The sequence below is a fragment of the Homo sapiens genome, chromosome 7 (genome assembly GCF_000001405.40).
Source record: "Homo sapiens chromosome 7, GRCh38.p14 Primary Assembly".
Classification (NCBI taxonomy): domain Eukaryota; kingdom Metazoa; phylum Chordata; class Mammalia; order Primates; family Hominidae; genus Homo; species Homo sapiens.
In genome coordinates, this window is record NC_000007.14 from 46913249 (window position 1) to 46937709 (window position 24461).

Below are 24461 nucleotides of genomic sequence, written 5' to 3' on the forward strand. Positions count from 1 at the left end.
TAACAATTGATGTTGAACATTTTTTCATGTGCTCATTTGCAATCCTTGTATCTTCTTCAGTGAGATGTCTGTTCAGATCTTTGGTTCACTTTTTAATTAGCTTGTTTGTTTTCTTATTGCTAAATTTTAAGAGTCCTTTCTATATTTTGGAGACAGGCCCTTAAAGCCAACTGGGCCTGTTTTTTTTTCTTTTGAAGTTTATTAATTATTGATTAAATTTATTTTGTGTGTATAAACCAATTCAGATTATTTTATTTCTTCTTTTGTGAGTTTTGGTAGTATGTATCTTTCAAAGAATTGGACTATTTAATTTGTCAAATTTGTGGGCACAGTTTTTCAAAGCACTCCTTTATTTTATTTATTTATTTTTTTCATAAGATCAGTAATGATGATCCTTACTTTATTTCTGATGTTGGTGATTTTGTATTCTCTCTTAGGTTAAGTTAGTCTAGCTAGAGATCTATTAATATTATTGATCTTTGCAAAGAATAAACTTATGATTTTGTTGATCATCTCTATTATTTCCTTATTTTCATTTCATGAATTTCTGTTCTCATTTTTATTATTTATTTTGTTCTCCTTAATTTAGATTTAATTTGCTATTCTTTTCCTAGTTTCCTAAGATGGAAGCCTATATTACTGATTTTAGATGTTTCTTCTTCTATAGCATAATGCTATAAGTTTCCCTCTAAGCAATACTTTGCTGCATCCAACACACTAAAACAAATTGTACTTTTATTTTTGTCACAATATTTTAATGTATTAGTGATTTTGTCTATGTCTCTGCTGTTTTTTTGGGTTCTGCCTCACGTTTTAACATGAGCTTTCTAGTGCGTACGAATTTAGGATTGCTATGTCTTTTTTGAGGAATTTACCCCTTTATCATTACATAAGCCATTTTATATCCCCGATAATTTTTCTTTTTCTTAGGTCCTTTTTGTCCAAAATTAAAATATCTATTCCAGTTTTCTTTTTGCTAGAATTAGCATAGTATATCTTTTGCCATCTCTTTTCTTTTAACCTGAGAAATATTTAAAATGGATTTCTTGAAGACAGCGCACAGTTCGATTTTGTGGTGTTTTTTTTTTTTAATTCACTCTGAAAATCTCTGTGTTTTACTTGGTGTATTTAGATCATTCACATTTAAGGTGATTATTGAAATTGTGATAATATCCTAAGTGCTGAGATTGCAGACATGAGCCATCAAGCCTGGCCCTGCCTTCTCTGATTTTCATTGAGAATTTTATATGATTCCATTTTCTCTCGTATCTTAACATATCAGTTAGATTTTTTAAAAAGGTTTTTGTTGTTGTTGTCATAGAGTTTGCAATATACATTTAAAACTAATATAAGTTTGTTAACTAACTTTAAAAACAATATACTGATTCATGTGCAGTGAAGATAGAATTCCAGAATTTTGTTTTTGTTTCTGTTTTCTTGTTTGACTTTAAATATTTCACTCTACTTTGTCTGGCCTGCATGGTCTGATGAGATGCCCACTATAATTCTTATCCTTTTTCCTCTCTTGCTAAGGTTTCCCCCACCTTACCCCTGGCTTCTTTCAATTTGTTTAATGCTTTGTTTTATGTAATTTGAATATGATGTTTCCAATATTTAGGGGGTTTTTGTTTGCTTTTCTTTTTAGTGTTCTGTAAGCTTCTTCTATCTCTGCTTTTGTTTATGTCATTGATTTTGAAAAATTGTCAACCATTTTTACTTTAAATACTTTTTCTATTCCATTCCATCTTTCTATACCTCCTGATATTCCCATTAATTGTGCATTGCACTTTTAAAAATTATTTTACTTTTTATGAGTACTCTATTTGGTTTTTCCTTTCTTTTTTATGCTTACATTTCTGTTTGGGAAATTCCTATTGACATATATTCAAGAGTATTAATTCTTTTGTTGGCCTTATCCAGTCTACTGAAGAACCCTTCAAAGGCATTCTTTATTTCTGTTACACTGTTCTAATTTCTAGGATTTTCTATTTTTGTTTGTTAATTTGTTTTTGTTTTTGAAACAGGATCTCACTCTGTCACCCAGGCTGGAGTGCAGTGGCATGATCTCGGATCACTGCAACCTCCACCTCCTGGGCTCAAGTGACCCTCCTGCCTCAGCCTCCTGAGTAGCTGGGACTACAGGTGCAAGCCGCCACACCTGGCTAATTTTTGTATTTCTTGTAGAGACCGGGTTTTGCAATGTTTCCTAGGCTGGTCTCAAACACTTGGGCTCAAGTGATCTGCCTGCCCTGGCCTCCCAAACTGCTGGGATTACAGGCATGACCTTCGGATATTCTTTCAATTCTTTCTGGGAGCGTCCATCTTTCTCGTTACACACCCAATCTGTTCTTGCATGTTGTTGATTATTTCCAATAGAACCCTTAACATATTAATCATAATTATTTTAAATTCCTTGTCTCATAATTCAATATCTGTGTCATATCTGATTCTGGTTCTGATGCTTGCCTTGTTTCTTGAGACTATGAGGCTTTTTTTCGCCTTTTAGCATGCCTTATAATTTTTTACTGAAACCCAGACATGATTTATTGGCTAATAAGATCTGGAGTTGATAGGTATGCCTTAGTCAGCTTGGGCTGTTATAACAGAATTTCATAGATTGGGTGGCTTAAACAACCAGCATTTATTTCTCAGGGTTCTGGAGCCTGGTAAGTCCAAGATCATGGCAGCATCAGTTTTAGTGTCTGGTGAGGGCTCCCTTCCTGGTTTGAAAATGGCCATTTTCTCTTTTTGTCTTCACATAATAAAGAGAGAGATCATCTGTCTTGTGTCTCTTCTTACAGTGAAACTATTGTCATTCATACAAAGGCTCTACCCCCCTGAACTAACAACCTCCCAAATGCCCGATGTCCTTATACCACCACCATGTTGGGGATTAGACTTTAACATGTGAATTTGGGGGTGAAGGGAGACACAAGCATTCAACCCCTAATAAGGCCTTTGGTGTGAGTTTTTATGTTTACTGGGCTAGACGTTAGGCTGTCTTTAATGTTTGCTGCATCAGTAGGCATCAGAGGATTCAAATTCCTCCAGTGTCTTTTTTTTTTTTTTTTCCTAAGTTATCATTGCGTTTCCCTTAGATTTTTCCTCAGGAAAAGACTGAATTTCAGCTCCTTCAGCTGCAATCCACTGTTGTTATACTGGGGCCCTCTTGATGTGGACTGAAGGGAAGGAAACATTCTATAATATTGTGATTAATTTCCAATCTTTAACGTGCTCCTGGGCTGTAATATTCTCCCACCCCAACACTCTCTCATGCCGTTAGTTGATGCAGAAAAGCTAGAAGAGGCTGGAGTCTGAAAAATCTCCTCCCCTGCCCCTGATCCATAAGATAAGCCCCGGATAAAAGTGTTTTCCCCTGCAGAGTAGGCTTTTGCTGTGGAGGATCCTTTGCAGATTTCACAATAGTGTTCTCCTCTCTGCCTGAGGCATGTGGAGATCTTGGATCTTCAAGGGGTAAAACCCACTGGAGTGTGGGGCTCCATGAAGACTGTAGCTCCTGGAGTGTCTCACTCTCACACTAGCCAACACTCAGGCAGTTGGTCCAAATCACCACTGAAGTGTTCCTTGCAGTTCATGGCTCCAGCAGCTTTGGTTCCAGGCAAGCAGATTTTAGCTGTGCCTCTCAAGATTCCTTCATCTCTCCAGATTTCTTCAGACTGCAGAGATGATTTGCCCTATGACCTCTTATGGATCCAAGAAAAGTTGTCGATTTTCAGTTTGACATATTTTTAAAATTTTATTTTTGTAAGGGTGGCATTGTCAGTTTCCAAGAACTGTATCTGTCAAAGGTGAAAGTGGAAATCTATCAGCTCCTTTTCATGTTTTTTCATAACCCTCCTGACACTTGAAGGCCATGGAAATGTATTGAGTTATTGGGTCACATTTTACTTTACACTACTTGTCTAAAAGCCATCTCAGACTCTTCCTGGAAAAAAATATAGAGTTAAATGAATACAAATTTTTATAATACTCTAAAAAGAAATACACAATTATATAACTGTGTTTTAGGCACTCTGCTAGCATCTGGGAAATCACTGTAACTAAAATGTGGTGCCAGACCATGAGGCTATGACTGCTGAGGCATTCAAGAGAGAAAACTGGCCTGGCACGATGGCTCACACCTGTAATCCCAGCACTTTGGGAGGCTGAGATGGGAGGATCACGAGGTCAGGAGATCAAGACCATCTTGGCCAATATGGTGAAACCACATCTCTACTAAATTGCAAAAAATTACCCAAGCATGGTGGTGCACGCCTGTAGTCCCAGCTACGCAGGAGGCTGAAGCAGGAGAATCTCTTGAACCCAGAAGGCAGAGGTTGCAATGAGCCAAGATCACGCCGCTGCACTCCAGCCTGGCGACAGGGCAAGACTCGATCTCAAAATCAAACAAACAAACAAAACAAACAACAACAACAACAACAAAACAAAAACAAGAGAGAAAACCAATGGGGTATGATGAGCATTTCAATAGAAAATTCAATAAGACTACAGCAGAGGGAGACATTAATTGTGCCTAGGGAATCAGAAATTGCTAAAAAAAAAGCTGGTTTTTCAAGATAAATGAAAAATTAGCAAGAAACATGTTACATTTTTATTGTTTCTCTTATACTATTCATTACTAGTAACTCAGTTCTTCCTTAGAGCTCCAATATCCACATATGCAAACAATAACAGCTTTAATGATGCTACCTTTACATACACAGTAGGACCTGTTGCTTTCTTGGGTCACGGGTGCTAGAATATATTTACTGCTCTTAAGTCCGGGTCGCAAACACCGCAATAAGTCCTACTCACAAAGCACTTTCTCCTCCAAGACATAGCAGATCTTGTTAACTCGTGACACAGCTAAAAAGGACAGTACTAAGAGGAAGCATTTGTGGTGTTCTGGGCCTGAGGGAGACAGAGATTGTCACGGCTAACATTTAAGCCCTCCTCTTTTGCCTCCAGGACTGTTGTTCCATCAACTAATGGGACTCCTTGACCCTGCATGTCTCCCAAAGCATCCTTTATACAGAGGTGTTGTCACCTTCTTGTTGTATTGATTTTATATAATCATTTTAAATTTTCTGTAGTTTCAAATGCTTCTCAACAAGTATGCCATATCTATGCAGTAGTAAATGTGTAAGATTTCTAATATATAAATATAGATAAAATCAGAGAGCTAAAAATTTATTGATGGAGAGCCTGAGTTTTAAAAAAATGAAGACCAACCACAGACCCACATCTCTACCTCTCTCTGTTGCATAAAATTCTCAGCAGTCTCACCAGCCCCTTATGCTGCTCCACACAATGAGGACGACCTGAGCTGAGAGAAGAGCAGGCAGAGATGTCTCCCTGTGTACATGGGAGAACGTGTGCGAACCTAGAGAATGATGGCTGAGCAAATCCCTGGCAAGTCTCCTATTACTTGTCCCTGGGGACAGACCCCTGGATTAACATCTAAAATAAAACAGTATTCTGAGCCTTTGCTCTGCTGGTTTTTATTTGGCTTCATATGGGCCATTTAACCTCTCTGAGCTTCTGTTTTTCCCTTCAAGCACCGGAGCAAGAATGCCTGCCTCACATCATAAGGGTGCGTCTGAACAAGTAACGGATAGAAAAACTGAGGCTTCATACCAGCAATTAATGTTATTACCCTGGAATTCCACATTTATAAGTAGTAACAACATAACTTATTTCATGTTGTTTTTTAATCAAGAGTACTTCTGATGGAAGATTTTATTAGAATGTAGAATCATTGGATAAAAAATGATTTTTCACTTATAAAACAGTCTACCCAAGACAGGACTCCTGTCTACAGAATTCCTGGAAGATGATCACCCAACTTTTCTTGATTATGACTAGTAACTAGGAGCTCACAACTTTGAAAGAAAAGGGATTTCTTTTCTTTTCTTTGTGAAATGATACCATATTAAGTAAAAATATCCCCTCTGGTATGCTTTCTTTTTGAGTCTGCATCCTTGGGAAGCTCAAAATATTTCACTCACCTCTAATCACAATCATGATAAGTCTTCATAAAGCCATCTGTGTGCACACCACTGAATTTCCTTTTCATGGGTAAACAGGCCCAGATCTCTCAGGATATTATAGTAGGATACAATTTTCAGACACCTTATGTCTTAGTTTGTTCAAGCTGCTATTTAAAAATACCATAGACTGGCTTATAAACAAGAGAAATTCATTTCTTATAGTTCTCGAGGTTGGAAATCCAAGGCCAGCAGTTTCAGTGTCTGATGAAAGCCTGTTCCTCATAGACGGCACATTCTTCATGTCTTCATATTGCGGACGGAGAGCCATAGAGCTCTCTGGAGTTTCTTTGATAAGGGCACGAATCTCATTCATGAGGGCTCTGCCTGAAGGCCCTTCCACTCAACACCATCACTTTCAGGATTTCAATGTTTGCATTTTGGGGGGACATTGAGACCACAGCATCTCACATGCATCGTCCTCTTGAGGCATCTTATGCATCTATCTGCTTTTCTATTATTTATAAGTGGTGCCTAGAACCAAGTGTAATATGATCTACATGTACTATAACTTGTTTGCTTCTATTTTAATGATGCTGTGTTACACTAATAATGAACCGTGTAGCTAACAGAACACAGTCATACCTAATGTCTCACAAAACACTGAAGAATCCCTTTTTATAGATGTGGAAACAAAACAAAGACCCTTAGAAGTTAAGAGGTTTGTTCACTATCTCACAGATAATCCAGGATTAGTACACAGGTATACCAGCTGTCATTGACTACATTGCTCAGTTAAGGGTAGATTAAATTGACAGGTCACCAATAGCTTGGGTCCACCAACTCTCTCAGCCTTTTTTCCACATTGAATGATGCCAAAAAAGTGTTGTTCTTTATGAAATTGTCTATTTATTTTTAACATTAATACAGTTATATAAAATTTAGAAATATGGAAGGTTTAGTGTAAGAAGCCTTACAGATTATGTTAAACATATAACACATTTATGAATAAGCAACTGGCAAACTAATCAAACATCACATAGTTAATCTATGGGCAAAAATGATATAATTGAGGTCTTCAAAGACATATGAATTGTCTTCATGCCATAGCATTAGCAGACAGGTAGGTAGCCTTTACATTCTTTTTAGAGGGGTTCCTCATCACTGACAATCCTATCAAAAAATCTAGATTTATCTTATTGCATCCCACTTAATAAAACCATTAAACTCAACTTGTCTTTGTATAATCACTGTAAATCCACTTGTGGCGAGAGGATGGACGCTTAGACTGATGGGACATGGGACAAGAAATGAGCACGTCCGTTTATGTAAAAGCCAATGTTTCCATTAACACATGCTTGGTGCAGTCACAAGTGGCAGCTGCTACTGTGGATTTCAGTTGCTATTTCTCTGAGGACCCCATAGAAGACTGTAAAGAGTGCCTGAGGACTGAAAAATGTGCCCACTCTTTTAGCCCTGGGAACAAACTACTCAATATGGCTATTTGGAAACACAGTGTGGCAATTCAGGAATAAGAATCACTAAAATTGATTGTTCTCTTTGGCCTCATTTAACTGATCACAACTCCACATAAGTCAAGAGCTTTTTGCATAATAATTTTCATTACCATATTATGTAACACTGAAAAATTGTTAGTTCTTTCATAAATTATCTGATTTTAAAAAGTAGCACACATTATCAAACAAGAAATTTTGAGAAGTGGTCATGGCTGGTGTCCAGTACAACCTCTTCCACTTTGAAAGTGCTCACTGTTACTGTTTGTGTCTGTTACTTGGTACCTCACAAAATGAGATGGCACAATCTTTTATTACAGTGAGACATTTATAAAATTATTTATGCATTTTTTTCAAAATGTACCTTAATAAATACCAAAATGTTGCTAAATTGTAGTTTATGTTTTTGTCCTTAATGCAATCAAGTAGAAATGAAAATAACTACAAAACATCACCATCAAAAATAAAAACATGGAACTGATTAAAGAAAACTATTAAAAATTCTTGGAATCCAAAAGGACCTCAACTCTGAAATTAAGATTATTTTATAATAAAAACAAGGAAAAAGCTTTATATTAAAACCCATTGGATGTTTCCAATCTTTAACCTTTAAAAAATTTTATGTTAAATAAAAACATTGAGAATAAATAAACTAAGCATTTTTTTTCTGGTAATAAAAAAGCGTTCAATTTAAAAAGTGAGATTGAAAAATAAAATGGAAAAAAACAGAATAAAACAAAATTTAAAAAACAAAAAAGTGAGATTGAAATAGTTAAGAAATAGCAACAAGAAATTGAAACTTATTAAGATAAAGAATCTACAGATAAAATAAAATTTTATTTTTATAAGACAAAAAATTTAAAACAAAGAATCTGAAAAATAAAATTAAATATATGTATATCTGCAATCATGAAAAAGAAAATTTATGAGAAACTCAGGAGAAAATAAACAATTGAAAGAAATATCCCAAGCAATTTTATATCAAAAGCTGGAAACCTACATAACAGTCGAAGATACCTTTTGAAAATATAAATATACAAAATTGAGTAACAAAATAGGATATGATTGGCAGAGGTGTCAGGAGGGAAAGAAGAAAAGGAAAAGGAGGAAGGGAAAGAAGTGGAAAACGAGGAGGAGAGAGCAGAGAAGTGAGAAGAGAAGAGAAAAATTATTTGGTCACTTTAATACATGACTATGATAACAAAAATACTAAGAAACTCTCGAAGTAGTGCTCATAATAGAGTTCAGTGTGGTAGACAGAAGTAATATAAACTAACAAATTCAATATTTTTAAAACCAGTAATAACAAGCTTGAATAAGCATCTCAATATACTTACACAAAAATACATTTTCCTTATATATTATTACCTGATAAATACAAGTTAAACAACATGTAATATAATTAATTTGTGTTAAGGAAAGTAGCATAGAGAGGAATATGTTTATTTTCTGTGTGTTTATATATGTATTAATGTATGTGTTTGTATGTTGACATGAATGTATGAATACTGTATATTTGCATGTGTGGGTGTGTCTGTGTATTTAGAAAGACATGCCCCAAATTATAAACAGCATTTTACTGAGGGATTCAGGTTGGAGATGAACACAAGGGGTTTCTTATATGTTGCATTTTATAATTTTATACGATGAGAAACACTGTGATTTTTTTCTTTTTATGTTTTGCTCTATTTTTCAAACATACTGTTTTTTATTTTTTTAATTAATATTATTTTTAATGGACAAATTATAATTGTATGCATTTATGGACCACAATGTGGAAGGATTAAATCAAGTTAAATAACATATACATCATCTTTCTCACTTATCACTTTTTGTGGTAAGACATTTGACATTTACTCTTAGTAATTTTGAAATATACAATACATGAATATTGACTATAGGTCACCCTGATATGCAATAGATCTCAAAACTTATTTCTCCTGTCTATCTGAAATTTTGCGCCATTAGATCAACAACTCCCCATTCTTTCCCCACTCCCAGCCTCTGATAACCACTATTCTATTCTCTACTTCTGTGAATTCAACTTCTTTAGATTCTACGTTTAAGTGAGATTATATGGTATTTGTCTTTCAGTGTCTGGCTTATTTCACTTAGCATAATGTCCTCCAGTTTCATCCACATTGTTGCAAATGGCAGATTTTTTTTTTTAAGGCCTAAAGAGTATTCCATTGTAATAGTATTTCACATTTTCTTTATCTGTTCATACATTGACAGACACTTTGGTTGATTCTATATCTTGACGGCTGTGAATTCACACTGTGTGTGAATATTGCTGCAATGAGCAAGGAAGTGCAGTTATCCCTTCAATATATTGATTTCAATTCCTTTGAATGTATACCCAGAATCATGATAGTTCTGTTCTGAGTTTTTTGAGGCACCTCCATACTGTTTTCCACAATTGCTACACTAATTTACATTCCCACCACAACACTCAAGAGTTTCCTTGTCTCCATAATCTCACCAACACTCGTTATCATTCATCTATTTTATAAAAGCCATTCTAACAGGTGTGAGGTGATATCTCATTGTGGTTTTATTTTGCATTTCTCTAATGATTAATGATGTTGAATATTTTTTCATGCACTTGTTAGCTATTTATTGTCTTCTCTGATAAATGTCTGTTCAAGTCCTTTGCCCATTTTTTAGTTGGATTGTTTGTTTTCTTGTTATTGAGGTCTTTCTTATACATTTTGGATTAACCCCCTATCCAATGTATGCTTTGCAAAAATTTTCTCCCACTATTGAGTTGTTTCTTTACTTTATTGTTTTTTTTTTTTTTTTGCTGTACAGAAATCTTTTAGTTTAATGTAATCCCATTTGTCCATTTTTGCTTTTCTTGCATGAGCTTTTGGGGTCATATCTAAAATGTTATTGAACAGGTCAGTTTCATGAAGCTTTTACCCTACATTTGCTTCTAGTAGTTTTACAGTTTCAGGTCTTATATTTAAGTTTTTAATTCATTTGAGTTGATTTTTGCATATGGTGTGAGATAAGGATTCAATATCATAACTCTGCATGCGGATAGCCAGTTTTCCTAACACAATTTACTGAAGAGATTGTTTTTCCCCACTGTGTGTTCTTGGCAACTTTATTGAAGATTAATTGACTATAAAGGCATAAGTTTATTTCTGGGCTTTCTGTACAATCTTTTCCATTGATGCAGAAAAAGCATCTGACAAAATTTAATACCATTTCATGATAAAAAGTCTCAACAGATTAGGTATAGAGGAAATGTACCTCAACACAATAAAGATTATATATGAAAACCTGTAGCTAACATTATATTCAACAGTGGAAAGTTGAAAGATTTTCCTCTAAGATCAGGGACAAGATAAAGATTCCCACTCTCACCACTTCTTTTCTTTCTTTTTTTTTTTCTTGAATTATACTTTAAGTTCTGGGACACATGTGCAGAACGTTCAGGTTTGTTACATAGGTATACATATGCCGTGGTGGCTTGCTGCGCCCATCAACCCGTCATCTACATTAGGTATTTCTCCTAATGCTCTCCCTCCCTTTGTTCCCCCACCTCCTGAAAGGCTCTGGTGATGTTTCGCTCCCTGTGTCCATATGTTCTCATTGCTCAATTCCCACTTATGAGTGAGAACATATGGTGTTTAGTTTTCTGTTCCTGTGTTAGCTTGCTGAGAATGATGGTTTCCAGCTTCATCCATGTCCTGGCAAAGGACACGAACTCATTCTTTTTTATGGCTGCCTAGTATTCCATGGTAAATATGTGCCACATTTTCTTTATCCAGTCTACCATTGATGGGCATTTGGGTTGGTTCCAAGTCTTTCCTATTGTGAATAGTGCTGCAATAAACATGCGTGGGCATGTGTCTTTATAGTAGAATGATTTATAATACTTTTGGTATATACCCAGTAATGGGATTGCTGGGTCAAATGGCATTTCTGGTTCTAGATCCTTGAGGAATTGCCATACTGTCTTCCACAATGGTTGAACTAATTTACACTCCCACCAACAGTGTAAAAGCATTCCTATTTCTCCACATCCTCTCCAGCATCTGTTGTTTCCTGACTTTTTAATATCACCATTCTACCTGGCGTGAGATGGTATCTCATTGTGGTTTTGATGTGCATTTCTGTAATGACCAGTGATGATGGCTTTTTTTCATGTCTGTTGGCCACATAAATGTCTTCTTTTCAGAAGTGTCTGTTCATATCCTTCACCCACTTTTTGATAGGGTTTTTTTTTCTTGTAAATTTGTTTAAGTTCCTTATAGATTCTGGATATTAGCCCTTTGTGAGATGGATAGATTGCAAACATTTATTCCCATTCTGTAGGTTTTCTGTGCACTCTGATGATAGTTTGTTTTGCTGTGCAGAAGCTCCTTAGTTTAATTCAATCCCATTTGTCAATTTGGGCTTTTATTGCCATTGCTTTTGGTGTTTTAGTCATGAAGTCTTTGCCCATGCCTATGTCCTGAATGGTATTGCCTAGGTTTTCTTCTAGGGTTTTTATGGTTTTAGGTCTTATGTTTAAGTCTTCAATCCATCTTGAGGTAATTTTTGTGTAAGGTGTAAGGAAGGGATCCAGTCTCAGTTTTCTGCATACGGCTAGCCAATTTTCCCAGCACCATTTATTAAATAGAGAGTCCTTTCCCCATTGGCTGTTTTTGTCAGGTTAGTCAAAGATCAGAGAGTAGATGTGTGGTGTTATTTCTGAGGCCTCTGTTCTGTTCCATTGGTCTATATATCTGTTTTGGTACCAGTACCATGCTGTTTTGGTTACTGTAGCCTTGTAATATAGTTTGAAGTCGGGTAGCATGATGCCTCCAGCTTCGTTCTTTTCGCTTAGAATTGTCTTGGCTATACCAGCTCTTTTTTGGTTCCATATGAAATTTAAAGTAACCACCACTTCTTTTCAACATCACAAAAGAACTCTCACCCAGAGCAATTATCAAGAGAGGGAAATAAAAACCATCCTAATGGGAAAGAAAGAAGCAAAATTGTTTCTGTTTGCTGATGACATACCTTATACCTAGAAAGAAAACCTAGACTCCACCAAAAACCTGTCAGAACTGATAAAGTCAATAAAGTTGAAGGACACAAAATCAACATAAAATAACAGTAGCATTTCTATATACTAATAATGTACTATCCAAAAAGGAAATAAAGAAAACAATCCCACTTACAATAGCAATAACTAAATTAAATAACGTAAATAAGTGTAAATTTAACCACAGAGATAAAAGTTCTGTATACTGAAAACTAATGAAATATTGATAACAGAAATTGTAGAAAACAAATTAATTAAAGCATAGCCCATGTTTATGGCTTGGAAGAATTCATATTGTTAAAATGTCCACACCACCCAAAGGAAATCTACAGATTCAATGCAATTCTTGTCAAAATTCCAACGTAATTTTTCACAGAAATTTTTTTAAAATCCTAAACTTTGTATGCAACCACAAAAGACCCTGAATAGCCAAAACAATCTTGAGCAAAAGGAAGAAACCTGGAGGCATCACATTCCTTCAAAATATATTATAAAGCTATAGTAATCAAAATACTATGATACTGGCATAAAAACACACATGGTTCAAACATATTTTAAATCTTTATCTCAAAAATCAAAATAGTTTTATCATAAATTTAAAATTATAATTCAAAATGTAAAAATAATTCTACACATAGAGGAATAAAAGATAAAATGTGGGCCGGGCACGGTGGCTCACGCGTGTAATCCTAGCACTTTGGGAGGCCGAGGCGGGCGGATCACGAGGTCAGGAGATTGAGACCATCCTGGCTAACACGGTGAAACCCCGTCTCTACTAAAAATACAAAAAATTAGCCGGGCGTGGTAGCGGGCGCCTGTAGTCCCAGCTACTCGGGAGGCTGAGGCAGGAGAATGGCGTGAACCCGGGAGGCGGAGCTTGCAGTGAGCTGAGATCGCGCCACTGCACTCCAGCCTGGGCGACAGAGCGAGACTCCGTCTCAAAAAAAAAAAAAAAAAAAAAAAAAAAAGATAAAATGTGAAAAATAAAAATAATATTTGAAAACAGAGAGAGTTAGTTATCTTTCAATATTCTACTAATTAGTTTCATTATTATGCATTTTTCTCAATACGAAATGAAACTATGCAATGGGAGGTGCCTAGGTAGTGTTTCTAATTGTATAATAGAAACTTAAAGTGCTTTGTATTCATAGAAGAAAAGTACTATGACAGATAACAGCATTGAACACAAATGCTCTACATCAGTAGAAAAATGGGACATGATTCAAACTATTGTCAGGCTAATCATTTAAATGTTATTCAATCTAATTTTTAAAGAACTATAAAGATCAGTATTATTATTGCAAATACATCTAAAATTGAGAAGTTGGTAAGCCAATTCAATATATGCAGGCACATCCCATACATTTTAATTATGTGATTTAAAATCATGTGGTGAAAAATACTTTCCGAGACTCACTTCATGAAGAAAATTAGAAAAGAAAATGTAAATCCAAAGATACCTTTTACCAACAACCACATACTTTCAGGGCAGGGGCCATAAGTGACTTGTGAACTGTGTTTACACCATGGGCATGTGGCAGAACCAGTTAAGCTGGGAAAGAGATCTGTCTGTCATTCTTTGTACCTGAACCATGTTTAAGAGCTTCAATGATGCTATGAACTATCATGCAATTATTTTAACGTATGGGGTACTTTGATGACAATGTGAAGCCTAAGCCAAATTCAGCCTGACACTTGAATTTGCTTTTGTAAATAATTTTTATGGGAGGACAGCTGTGCCCATATGTTTACGGATTGTCTACAGACACTTTTGTCCTACAATGTCAGAGTTCAGTATGATTGTATGGCTTGCAAAACCTAAAATATTTACTATGTGACTCTCTACAGAAAAATTTTGCCAACCCTTGTCCAATAGCAATGTATCCACTTGTTCTTAAACCTGCTAGGCTATTGTTAACCCACTTATGCCAGAGGTTGCAATTTTTTTGTGTGAAAAATCAGACTTTGGCGATGACCTTGAGCAGTAGGATATACATGACTCCCACAAGTTTAGTGTTCCAATGATGGGACACTAGGCATAAATGGGTTAATGCATAGCCACTAACAAATCCATAACTTTGGAATGGAAGCTACATTAAGAAGGCCAACCACATCAAATAAAATATGTTGCTAACCTATGGACAACTATTCTACAAATATTAGAAATAATGACGAGAAAATTGTAAAACAAAAATAGATTTTCTTGTCAAATTATACATGACATACTGACATACATATAATTTGATTAAATGAATGGTTTTTAATAATCTAGAATTAAATTTCTTTGTTAAAGCTATTTCCTCTCCATGGAATTCATTCCCAACCTTCTAAACTTAGAGAGATCCATAAAGCATTCAGACTTAGCTCAGGTTTCCTGCCTGGAAGCCTTGTAACAGCCCATTATGGCCCAAACACAGATTCTAGTTTCCTCTTCCAACTCACTGCCCTATGAAGTGCTGCTTCTGACCCACTTCTGCCTGCTCCCCTGAGCCCTGGGGACCTCCACATGTGGATCTGGCATTTCTGTATAGGGTCATGATCTAGCTCAGTATCTAGTGTTTAGAGTATGCTAAGCATGAGTTGCCTAAATTAATTACTTTAATAATATTTCAAATTCCTAAGGGAACCATGTCCAAAAAGTGCCTTTTAATATTACCTCATCAACAATGCAAATAATCTTAAAATGTGAATCTTAACTGTTGATTTGTCTTTTTTATGAGAATATTTAAATATTTTTACTTTTTAAAAAATCCACTTTGTAGTAAAAAAGAATTGATTTCATTTTTTTGCAGTTATTAAGAAAGTAATTGTAAGATATTTGGAAATGCAAAAAATTAAAAAAATTATTTAAGTTCTACCATCCCAAATAAGTGGTGTTCACACCTGACTATGCTATTAATAGGAATCTCCTGTTCCCTCTTTAAAGTCTAATCATTTGCAGTCGTGGACTTCAGAGGTTTGCTAACAGAATATACCATGCTAAGAGTCAAAATGGTAGCATTGCTATATTTATGTTAAACAGCAAATCTGCTAGATGTCTTTTTAATCAGACTAAGTGGTCACGTTGCATTTAGTCAAAAGCTGTCACTGATTGTCTTTCTCAAGATTTCCAAGCTTCAAGTTGCAGGTTTACATTAGTCTGTTTTGATTTTTAGCGAAGTTAGCAACTCATTAACCAAATGAGTTGCTATGATAGAGTAAGTCCTCAATGCTAATTTACCTAACATGCACATTTTTGGGATGTGGGAGGGAACTGGAGTACACGAAGAAAACCCAGACATGAGGAGAATGTGCAATCTCCAAACAGACAGTGGTCCTGGCTAGGAATCATTTATTTTTTTCTTTCCAATGTTATAACAAAACAACAGTATTCAAGATCGTGCTGTATGCCATATACCCACAAAAGGAGCATTTACAGCTTTATTTTGTAATCCTGGATTATCAGATAACATTCTTTTTTGCATGTCAGTCTTTTCTTCTGCCTAAAATGTCCCTCTTTAGAAAGTAATCCTTTAGAAGTTGATTTAGAGAGGGTTTGCTGGTCATAAATATTGTTATTGTGTGTTTAAAATATTACTATTATTTTAAAATGTTAATCTCCCAAAGAAGAGAATTCCAGATGATCAGTTATAATCTCTTAGTTTCTTAAAAATATTTAAAGTATAAAGTATACTAGAAATTGGAATTTATAAAAATGCATCCACTTTGCTGTTACTACTAATTTTGCAATTGGTATACTTGTTTCTTTACAGGCAATGTTTATTTTATCTTCCATTGTTTTTGAGATCTTATCTTTGCCTGTGATATTCTGTGTGTCCAGCTGTGATTGTCTTTTTTTTTTCTTTTTATTCATTCTCCTTGGAATTCATTATACTCTCTAAATCTGAAAATTTTTGTTCTTCATTAATTCTAGACAACTCTCATTTAGCACTTTTACTATTGCCTCCTCTCATGCTCCTTATGTTTAAAGATCCAATTAGATGAATATTTGCCCCCTTACTATTTTCTATGTCTCTTAATCTCTCCTTTATACTTCCATATTTCCTCTTTTCTCTACATGTGTCCAACTCCTGGTAAATGTTTCAGGTCTATTTTCTAGTTACTGATTCTTTTTCATGTATCTCTTACCTGCCACTGAACACATCATTGGTGAGGTATTTAATTTTAATGACTTTTTTTTTTTATTTTAGCCGCTACATTTGGTTATATTCTAGTCTTCCTAGCATATTTTGGAGCATATTATTCTTTTTCATCTTGTATTTCTTTGAAAAATCTAAATAATTTTTTTTGTGCTCTATGATTCTGTTACCTGAAGATCCTGGTTTCTGCTGGCTTTCTCGTGGTGGCTTGTTTCTTTGTGTACTTGGTGATTTTCAAATGTGAGCTTATATTTCATGTTTTTCTGGATTTTATTTGCTGGAATCCTGGAAAGCATGGGTTGAAGGAGCAAACCTTCAGAAAGTCAGAGCCAAATACAGTTTGTTTCTGCCAGTTACCCTAAGGCATTCTTACCCATGTGTGACTACATAATGTTAATTTCTAGGATTGGTATTCTCTGTGCCATGAAAGTAATGTAAATCTGAATTCCTGGGGACATGGAAAGCCTATGATTTAGAAGTTTTGAAGAGAGAGTATTATTTTTTCAATGAAAGCACAGGTTAAGACAAACAAGTGCCAGTACAGTCCAGGGCTGAGTCAATCCCAGAGCCCGCAGATGAGTCAACTCCATCTAGCAGTAATCCAGATGCTCTGCCGCACACAAGGAAGAGAGAGAGAGACATGAAGAAATCAGGCATAGACTCTAACCTTTAAGAACTCACATAAAAGTGAGGCTGATGGAAATGTACACCGCTAGTAGTGATGCAAGGATTTAAGATTCACCCTCTGTGGCAGCATAAGCAAAAGTCTACCTGTGGCTGATTAAGGAAGCAGTGAAGCAAAAATCTAAGCATGTGGTATTTGCACTGAACCTTGAAAAATGGCGACCATATTCACAGGCCCCCAGAAATGAAAAGGCATTCTAGATACAGGAAAACATCAGCAAAGCATGGACGGCGAGGCCATGTGGTGGATTTTAGAGGTAGAGCCTGAAGTAAAATGAGAGTTGCACAGGAATGTCATGAGAGCCAAGATCAGAGCAGTCTTGTGCTTTACCTGCCATCTAAGGCATGTAGATTTCACTAAGTAAATAAAAGTGAGCCAACACAAATCTACAACCAGTGAACTTTCATGTCAAATCCTCCTACATATCCATAAACAGCAACCATTCTACCCTGTTCCTCAACCTGAGCCTTAGTTGGTTTTAGATGGTACCAAAACAAGTCGTTTGATAGAGCAATATTCAGTAAACTTTTTAAAACATAAATATGATGTGAACAATTCAAATTACGTTGACATTTTTCCTGAGTTTCCATGTTTGGGGCAATCTTTAAGTAACCTACAAGTGTTTGATATCATGATACATCCAGCTTATGTTTATATTAAATCAAAATGGACAGGAGAGGAAAAAATGTTAAGGATCCCAGTGTTTGATGTACCTAATGCAAATGATTTATGTCAATGTCATAACTTTGTAAGTAGACCCTCCTATGAGCACTTTTCTACATTTCTGTGGACAGCCAGTCAGAATAGACTAAGGGGTAGCTCTATCTACTAGGAACATTCGCCCACTAATATCTTCAATAGGACGTAAAAGATAGGTAAACAGAGGCCATAGAGCAAGGCTGTGTCAATAAAGCAAAGGATTGTAAAGTTAGATTTTTAGAGATGTTAAGTGGCTGAAAGAAAAGGCTGAAACTAGTGAGGCAGTGTTTCATGGGGTAAAAACATCTACCTTTGATTCTCTCACTTCAACTAGACCCAAGCAGAAGGGAACTTATTTAAACAGCAGTTCATGGAAGAAAAGCCATCATAGGCTACATCATCAACTCAAAAATGACATACCCGTGAAAGCTCTGCCTAAACATCTAAACTCAACATAGGCAGCTTTAATGTAAATGAATAGTGGAAACCTAAGGATACGATGTTTTGTTGCACTTGCCATTGGATTACTGTGCTTGACTTTGAGTCACTGCAAACTGCCATGTGTTTAGAGGTGATCCTGGATGTTGCAGGGGTCCAAGACCCAGGAGATCCTGGATAATTTAAGTGGCAAGTAGCAGACTTCATGGAGGACATTTAGTGTAAGAAAGGAGAAAACTTAGGTCCAACATGTAGAAGTTTCAAATAGAAAAGTTTTGATGTGTCACAGCAGGAAGTAAAAAAGTATCACTTCCACTCTAGGAGGATTTCCTATCAATTTGAGCTCTTCTAGTTTAATCACAGATTTTGTAAAATAATGAGGTCTGCAAAGGAATTTAAACAGGGACTACGCAACCACTTGATGGGATATTGGGAATATCTACATCGTGCTGGACAAAAATATAAATGGTTCCTTGTGTGGCTTTGGAACCCAGATTCTCCTGCATCATCATTCTACATTGGTGCCATGAGGGCCAGACACTCTCACAACACTGCCCTTCTTGCTGAAAATATCAGTAATCTCCTTCAAACAGATAACTTGACTTCACCAGACTTTTTTCAGCACTTGGCAGCTATATAAACTTTTTATTAGTCCATTTATTGTTTATTTTGCACTGTTTTGTTTTAAGCATAAAGGGGTGAAGTACTAAAATATGTTTAGGGCCCATATCCCATTAAATCACAGATACTCAGTATGGCTGAGCAAATGTTTACTTCCCAGGGTCAGCCTAAACAAAACGAAAACAGCAGTCCCAAATATTTCCTTTGCAGAATAATCACAAAGGCTGTCTCTCCTGAAATCTTAATCCTAATCTTAAATATTTGCTGTCCTAAAATGAGGAAAGTCCTGTCAGTAATTGTATTATCTGTTCTTCTTCATGCTCATCATAAATGCCAAAGGGTAATTCTTCCTAGAAAAATCAATCTTTAGTGATAACACGCAATGTGTTTTTAATTAATGAAGCTGCTTGATGCTGGCAGACTGGAAGTATCTTATCATCACATGCTGGGGAATTCACACAGGGTCCTGTCTGTGCATGCCGATCCCTGGAGCCAAAGAAAAATCTCCTGTCATTAAATCCTCTGCTGAACTAGCCTACATACTAAATAGGCAGAGGATCACGCCAGCCATCATGCTGGATAAGTGTATCAAGATATAACGCATGCCAGAAGCTGATGAAATACTTTGGCAAGAGCAGTGACCAGTTTTGTTATAATAAGTTGTGGTTTATCTCCAGTGTGGAGGGGAGAAAACTCATTTATGATTGCTCAATATTCTTGAGCAAAATACGACTGTCATCTGAATCCAGAGTAGAAGAGAGGATTTTTGTTTCTTTGTTTCTACGTTTATTTTGTTTTTAAGAGGAAAAGCAGCTTCTCAGTTGATGGGCAGTGGGAACAACACTGGATTTGTGAAGAGGGCTCACTGTGATTGAGTCACTTCACTTTTTTCCTTGCTCCTATACTTGGTACAAGTCCCCTACCCTCTCCAAGACTCATTTCCTCCTTTCTAAAATGAGGACAAGAGCACCCACTTCAGGATGAACACACAAGTTAAAGCGTTGAAGCACATTGTAGGCTATACAGATAAAGACATTGTTATTCTTTCTAGAAATAATAATTATTTGTTTCTTACAGACTCCACTAAAGTGAGAGTTGGAACTAAACATTCTCCAACATTCCTTTTAAAAAATTATCAAATTATTAGTTTTTAATTCCAAAATTTTAGGTTTTAGTTTGTAGGCCTGATTAACAAAAGCTACTTTTATTTATTTATTTATTTTTTTCCGTGTGTAGCCAAAATTGAATGTAGGCATGAAATGCAGGGAATTTTTGGATAATGGGACAGAGAGGTATTTATTGTTTCAGAAAGCACTTCCTGAAAACATTTATAACCAAAGAGCCAATAAAATGATCGGTTCAGAGATAAGTATACTGGAAGGAAATAATGACCATTGCAACACATGGCTAAACACCCTGGAATCATTCTTCCTTGTATTATTAAGCATAATTTTTACATTAACACAGAGTCAAAATAAAAGTTCCCTGCTGTGCTTACACAATACTCTGCAGCTGAGCAATAAGAACTTCGAGTGAAGTAAGGAGCAATTAGAGCAAAAGACAACTCAAACTAATTATTTTTAATCATATAAGTATAGCTTAGATCGACTCACCTGTAAAACAGGATAATTACCTAGGTATTGGATACTCTTTAAATGTTTGTAGGATTAAATTGACATTTCAGTTATAAGCTATTATTGAGTATTGGAACCAAACAAGCATGGAATACAATAGGGATAAATCAAATAATGTAACTACAGATAAATTATAATATAATAGAAGGATAATATTATTACAATATTATAACAATTATATCTACAGATCAAGGAATTTTGTAAAGATAATTGAGACAAACCAGATGGAAAAAACTTGTAAAGATGCTAAAAAACAAACAAAAACATATTGCCCTTGCTCACTTTCTTGGGCCCAGTATAGAAAAGACTAACTTCTGTATAATTTCCACCTTAGTTTCTAGGTGAAACAGTTGAACTACTGACCTCTGTGTAATTATTTCGTAATCTGCTTCCTCTTCATGAAACGTTTAGTCCAAATCTCTGTATGACCAAGCTTTTCCCATCTTCCAAAGCCCAGATGAAAGAGGTCATCCACAGAACTCCCCTGTTCCTCTACTCCACCATATTTCTCTCTCCTGCAAAGGAGTTCTCTCTAGCATTGACCTTGCAGTGGTCTATTCCATGAGGGCCAAATCTAAAGCATAGAGTCATGCACCACACAATGGTGTTTCCATCAACAACAGGCTGTGTATTCAACAGCTGTCTCATAAGATTATAATGAAGCTGAAAAATTCCTACTGCCTAGTGATATCATAGTGCAATGCATTACCCGGGTGTTTGTGGTGATGCTGGTGTAAACAAAACTACTATGCTGCCAGTTGTTTAAAAGTATAGTGCATACAATTATGTACAGAATATATTACTTGGTAAGATAATAAGTGACTATGTTACCACTTTATGCATTTAGCATACTATATTCTTGTTGATATTTTTATTGTATTTTTATACTCATAAAAAAAGTTAACTGTAAAACAACCTCAGGCAGGTCTTAGACATTGTCATCATAGGAGATGGCAGCTCCATGCACGTTATTACTCCTGAAGACCTCCCAGTGGGACAAGCTGTGGAGATGGAAGACTGATATTGATGATCCTGACCCTGTGTAACCCTAAGCTAATTTATGTGCTTCTGTCTTAGTTTTGGACAAAAATGTTTAAAAAGTAAGAAAAATAAAAATAGATACATGCCTATAGAATAAGGACATAAAGAAAGAATATGTTTTTGTAGCAGGTATATAATGTGTTTTTATTTTAAGCTACGTGTTATTGCAAAAGAGCCAAAAAGTTTAAATAATTTAAAAGTTTATAAAGTAAAATGTTGCAGTAGGCTAAAATTACTTTGTTACTGAAGAAAGAAAAAATACTCTTTTGTAAATTCAGTGTAGCCTAAATGCACAGTGTTCATAAAATCTATCATAGTGTTGAGTAATTGACTCACTGGGCTTTCATATTCACTCACCACTCACTCACTGACTTACCCAGGGCAACTTCCAGTTCTACAAACTCCATTCATGGTAAGTTCTCCATATATATGCACCCTTTTAAAAAATATTTTATCCTCTATTTTTACTTTACTTTTTTGATGTTTAGATATCTTTAGATACAAAAGTATGGAACCATTGTGTATACTCGTCTACGGTATCAAGTTCAGTGACATGCTGCACAGGTTTGCAGCCTAGGAGAAACAGGCTATACATATAGCCTAGCTGTGTAGTAAGCTCTACCATCTGGGTTTGGGTAAGTACAGTCTATGATGTTCACACAAGACAAAATTGCCTAATAGTGCAATTTTAATTTCTTAGAATGTATCCCCATTGTTAAGCAATGCACGACTGTATTCACACTTATATTTCCTGGTATCTTCCAACAGTGCTTACTTATGTCTGGTGTGGCCCACATAAAATTGATCAAATGACAAAAGAGTGATACTCTTAAAATAAGGTAAGTGGGTGTGTCTTGCAGGGTATGGAAGAGGAAATGTCAATAATACTGACCATTCAATGTAGGAAAATTTGATTTGGGACACCGTCAAGATATTACTCTCCCTTAATAAGAGTTGGCAGACCAAACAAGAACATATGGGAGAATGATCTCCAGTACTAACTGTTATTTTGCAGTGTACTAAATAAAAACTAACTTTCTTATACAGAATAAGAGACAAATTGTATTTAGAAATTGAATTTACAATTCACAAGAAGCTGAAAGAGTAATTTACACTCTGCAAAAGGATAGAGACTTAAGAAAAGCATAGACACCCAGTTCTATGTCAGAACCCGACAGGCACAGGCTCAAAGGAGCCCCATCTGCTCTAGAACACGAACCACTTCTTACTTAAGGCTTCTCACCAACATTCTTTTGAGAAGGGAAGGAGAATGTAACAGGAAAACTGTGCTATGTTATGTATGTAATTTTCTGTGAATTAAAATGAAAAAGCTCTAGTCAAATGCAAGTAATTATTTCATTTTGTGGGTTTGATAAATCTTTATTAAAAGTTGTATTGAACCTATACCAAGTTTAAAAAAAAACTTCTTTAGATATTATCTATTTATTCTTACGTGCATTCATTTATTTAGTGTAGGATTGTTGAGTGCACACCGTTGGATGATGTCTACATGTCAGGGATACAGAAAGGAAAGAAAAACAAATGTCCCTATCCATAAAGGTGGAGGATATTAAACTAATGTTCCCATTACTCGTGTATGTTTTTGGAGGAGTAATGTTAATGAAGGAAGATAATATGGTTTGGCTGTGTCCCCACCCAAATCTCATCTTGAATTGTAGCTCCCATAATTCCCACGTGTTGTGGGAGGGACCCAGTGGGAGATAATTGAATCCTGGGGGCGGTTTCCCCCATACTGTTCCCGTGGTAGTGAATAAGTCTCACAAGATCTGATGATTTTATAAGATGTTTCCCCTTTCACTTGGTTCTCTCATTCTCCCCTGCCTGCCACCATGTAAGACATGCCTTTCACCTTCTGCCATGATTGTGAGGCCGTCCAGCCACGTGGAACTGTGTGTCCATGAAACCTCTTTTTCTTTATAAATTAACCAGTCTTTGGTATGCAGTGTGAAAATGAACTGATAGAGAAGATAACCATATTCAGCAGTGTGAAAACAAACTGATAGAGAAGATAACCATATTCAGCTACACAGTGTTAGTGGATTAACCATTAGTAGGTCATGGAAACAGGAGTTGAGGATATGATGGAGTGTGGGATAGAGAAACAGGTGTTTTGCTTGGAGATGGTCCTGCCCCCCATTCCCACTACGCTACCCACCACATTTAGAGAGCATAAGTCTTAGGTATGAAGTAGTATATTTTTGATACCAGAAGCAGCATAAAAGAGGAAACTGGAGCTTTTAACAGCCAGAAGCCATGTTACCCAAGAAATCGGAAAAACATGCTTGATGTTGTGCTCCACCCCACCATCCCCAAAATCATACCCTCTCCTTCCATCCCAGAAGCAGCAAAAAGTGTGCTTACTCACAGATGATCAGTGATTTCTTTTATGCTGTAGAAATTCACTCACATGGCCTCCTCAAACTAATTTCCTATATCCAAATAAAAAGAAAAAAATCAAGAATCAACATAAAAGTATTAAATAAGGAAAATCAACTCAACCAGTAAAACTTGGTGAAATATTTAAGTACATAATAGATTAATAAATATATTAATAGATGCATAAAATACTTCAATAGATTCAAGAGGGTATTATATTTATTCTATAATCTTTAGTAAAAAGTATCAGTATTTATAAATATAA

At 35.7% G+C, this 24461-nt stretch overlaps 1 long non-coding RNA gene across 1 annotated transcript in view; it reads right to left on the reverse strand.

Annotated features, from left to right (window-relative positions):
- The window catches only part of LOC124901626 (uncharacterized), a 46873-nt gene extending 22624 nt beyond the window's left edge, over positions 1 to 24249 (reverse strand). The window contains exon 1 of the long non-coding RNA XR_007060316.1: positions 24186 to 24249. This is a non-coding gene — a long non-coding RNA (uncharacterized LOC124901626). The remainder of the gene's footprint in view (positions 1 to 24185) is intronic.
- Positions 24250 to 24461: the final 212 nt, after the last annotated feature.